General features: G+C 32.5%; 1 annotated feature.

Moving 5' to 3' along the window:
- Positions 3,051-3,613: an enhancer, noted in NCBI's record as "OCT4-NANOG hESC enhancer chr5:67140720-67141282 (GRCh37/hg19 assembly coordinates)". NCBI's record gives its function as "activates a minimal SCP1, AML or CMV promoter by ChIP-STARR-seq in naive and primed H9 embryonic stem cells {active_cell/tissue: H9 hESC(naive and primed)}" and the evidence as "EXISTENCE:reporter gene assay evidence [ECO:0000049][PMID:30033119]".

Here is a 4,077-nt window from a genome sequence, read left to right as displayed (position 1 = left end):
TAATTTCTTCTACTGTTTTCTTTTTACATTTCTATCTGTATATATTTTATAATTGAGTTTGTACTGTTTATGTAATTTTTTAGCCTTCATTTCTTTACAAGAAGTCGTATTTTTAAAAAAATTAAATTATTTACAAACATGACTTTTAGCAACTGTATAATATTCCATTATATGGATGTTCTATACTTTAGCCAATTCTTTATTAATGACCCATTTAGTGAATTTCCAGGTGTTTTTAACTATTAGAAGATAATGCTGCTAGGAATTTTCTTGAACATACATTTTTTGTTTATCTTCTTAAAATATTTTAAGAGCTTTTACCATATGCATTTTGATTGCTTTCCATAAAGTCTGCTTAATTTTACAATTTTACCAGCTATTATGAGTATAGTTCAAGGATTTGAGCTGAGAAATTGAATTAATTTAAAAAAAATTTAAACATCTATTATGTGACTACACCAGGGTTCATATGTAAAATAAATGTGTGACAAACACAGTTCTTGCCATTATAAGGCTTTTAAGGCAATAAGAGGGTTCCAGCTAAGCCTTTTGTGTAGATGGACAGAGCCTTGTGAAAATCTCCATACCAATATCTGCATTCTTAAGATAACACAAATAGAAAACAATGACCAAAACAATAAATAATTTTTTAAAGTTTCATTGCTTCTAGAAATTGTATTTTTTATTTTACAGCACAAAATATTCACATGAGAATATTTTTGCCTTCAAATAAGCATTCTATGTCTTCTGCTATTACTAAATGTAGTAATAGTGTATTTAAAAATCCATGAGATAAGTTATTGTCAGTAAGACATTATTAGAATATACACATTTTAATATGCTTATTAAAATGCATTTATATTTTTATGTTTATAAATATGTATATTTTTAGAAAATATATTCCTATATTAAAACATATAGTACATATTATATTTTATTAATTTCATCTGAAATATTTCAATATTTAATGAAGTAATAAATAATACTGATAAACCAATATTTGAAGTTAATATTCAAGAAGAATTAAATATGTTAATAAATGCATATTAATCTGTACAAACATAATAAATTATCAAATCAAATACATTTACTTCTATCTTGACTTTTTAATAATATGGTTATTTGAAGCATTATTTAGGTTGAATATTATTAAATTAGGTTAAGAAAATTATATTCAATAACTTTTTAAAAACAATTTCTGGCAAAATAAAATATATAAATAAACCTTCCTGTTAAAGCTGGTTGTTTAGTTATGCTATGAATTATTCTAGTGAGTTCAAACAGATTTTTAAGTAGCACTTGAGATATAATTTGCATAACATACAATTGACTCATTTGATGTGTGCAGCACGTTTTTTAGTACATTCACAGAATAGTGCAACCCTTACCACAATTACATTATTACCAGAATCTAGAATATTTTCATCACCCCTTCACCCTCATATCCTTTAGCAGTTACTCCCTATAGTCTCTCTACCCCTCTTGCTCAGCCCTAGGCAACGACTAATCTACTTTTTGTCTCTACAGATTTACCTTTATGGATATTTCAAATAAATTGAGTCATATAATATGTGGTCTTTTTGGACTGGTTTCTTTCACTTGCATATTTTCTAGATTCATCTAGATACATTGACACATGTAGCATGTGTCAATACTTCATTTCTTTTTCTTGCTGAATAATATTCCATTGTAGGATATATAATCTTTTATTTATCCATTCATTCATTGATGAACATTTGGGTTATTTCCACTTTTTGCCTACTATAAACAATGCTACTATGAACATTTGTGTACACATTTTTGGGTGGTTGTATGTTTTCATTTCTCTTGGGTATACATACAGGAACAATTTCTGGGTTTTAAGGAAATTCTATATTTAATTATTTGAGGATCGGCCACAATGTTTCCAAAGCAGCTGCTCAGCTTACATTCCCACCAGCAAGAGATGACAGTTCTAATTTCTCCAGATCTTCACCAACACTTATCATCTATCTGTCTGATTATAGCCATCCTAGTGCAGGCGAAGTGGTTTCTTACTGTGGTTTTGATTTGTATTTTCCTGATGGCTAATGATGTTGAGCATCTTTTTATGTGCTTATTGGCCATTTGTACATCTTCTTTGGAAAAAATATCTCTTCAGATCCTTTGTGCATTTTAAAATTGGGTTACTTGACTTTTTATTATTGAGCTGTAATAGCAAATATTTTCTCCCATTCTTTGGGTTGCTTGTTCACTTTCTTGGTGGTTTCCTTTGAAGCAAAATTATTTTATTTTCATGAAGTACAGTTTATCTCTCTTTTCTTTTGTTTCTTGTGCTTTGGATGTCATATTTGAGAAGGCTTTTTCTAATCCAGGGTCCTAAAGATTTACTCCTACATTTTTATTCTTATGTTTGTTCTGAGGAGAAACCTAGCTTTGTTCTGTTGCATGTAGATATCTAGTTGTCCCAGCACCATTTGTTAAAAAGATTATTCTTTCCTCATTGAATTGGCTTGGCTCCCTCAAACAGATTTTTGAATTCTCATATTTACTGAGAAAAATCACTGGCCTTGCTTTGTTATCTTTGCTTTTCAAAGGTGATGTGTAGACCAAGTGGACCTGAGCTCTGTTTCCATGGAGATGTTGAAACCATCCTTTGCCTTGCCAGGTGTCTTCCTGTGTGTTCAGCCCAAAAGCCTTGACCTTGCAGCCATTGCATCTATTCCACACTATGCTCCCCACTTCCACATTAGTGCTAGGCAATTCTAAGCTGGACACCCCAATTAAAATTACCCTGGGAGCAGCTTTCACCTTACATATAACCATTTTGGGTAATAAGAGCCTTGTAAGAGTTAGAGATTGCTTTTAGATAGTGTGCACACTCAAGAACCAAAATGGTTATGATCAACATTGTTGTAGAGAAAGTCAAAAAGAAGCTGAAAGCAACTAACCCCTGACAAGTGCCAGGAGAAAAACCTGTTCCTTGTTTTTCACAGATGCAGCCACAAGCAACATTAAGGTGCTCTGATAAATTCTTTACATTTGTTTTCTTCGAAAGAACTCATTAATTACAATGTTCCTTCTGTTCTCTTGTGAGAGGGACAGTTACGCTGAAAGCAATATGTTTCCAGTGCCAAACCACCTTCCCATTATTGTAGGCCCAAATTGCCTACTTATTCCAAGTCAAAAGAGTTCACTTGTGACCCTGTTTGCACCCTTTCTTTCACCAAACACCTTCCTGTTATTTGCATTATTGACAAGTGACTCCATCTTCATGTTGAGGAAATGGCATGAAAGAGATTCACTGTGTGAGGAAGACGGCAATACACAGATCATTCCCAGATGAGGCCATTGCTTCCCGGCATTCATTGAATGGTCTGAATTTCCATTCAAAAAGCATCAGTTAAATGCGAGCTGTTGGCTAACACTGGTAACAAAATAAGTCCATTCTCTCCAGGACCATACCATCTAATTGATGAGCAAAACACATCCTAAACAATTCAATCTTCCCATAAAGTAGCATGTGGGCAGGGGCCAAAATGAACTGGAAAAGAAAGATTTAATGAGAATTATTTGGTACAAAGCCCAGAATATGGCTAAGATTAGTAAATGTTTCTATATGAATGCTGATGAGAACAAGAAAGGTAACAGTTCAACAAGTGCAAGTCAGAAGGAAAGAGGTGTTTGGAACCATTCTGCTCTAAACTCGGGGAAGGAGTACTTCTTTAGCCTCCTGAAAAAGTCACAGCTTTTGGGAGGATTATTTTCCTCTTGAGAGTATTTTATTGATTCTGTAAAAAACATAAGGGAGCTTCAAAACTTTAGATTCCTGGAGTATTGAAAAGCTACTTTACATGTTAAAAAGCAGCAGAGATAGAAGAAACAGATGACCAACCTTGAAGTTGCTTGTCCTGGATTTTAATTCTGTTTTTCCATGCAGCATCTACGTGATCAATTTTTTAACCTCAGAGCTTCAATTCTGTCACTTATAAAATTAGAATAAAGATTCCTATCTCCCAGAATTACTGTATTTGTTAGGATAACATATAATAAAATTGCTGACGCCTATTAGATACTGACTAAATTACCATGGAATAT

Source organism: Homo sapiens, chromosome 5 (genome assembly GCF_000001405.40).
Source record: "Homo sapiens chromosome 5, GRCh38.p14 Primary Assembly".
NCBI lineage: Eukaryota > Metazoa > Chordata > Mammalia > Primates > Hominidae > Homo > Homo sapiens.
Note: the sequence above shows the minus strand (reverse complement) of the source record. Positions and strands in the feature narration are given on the sequence as shown.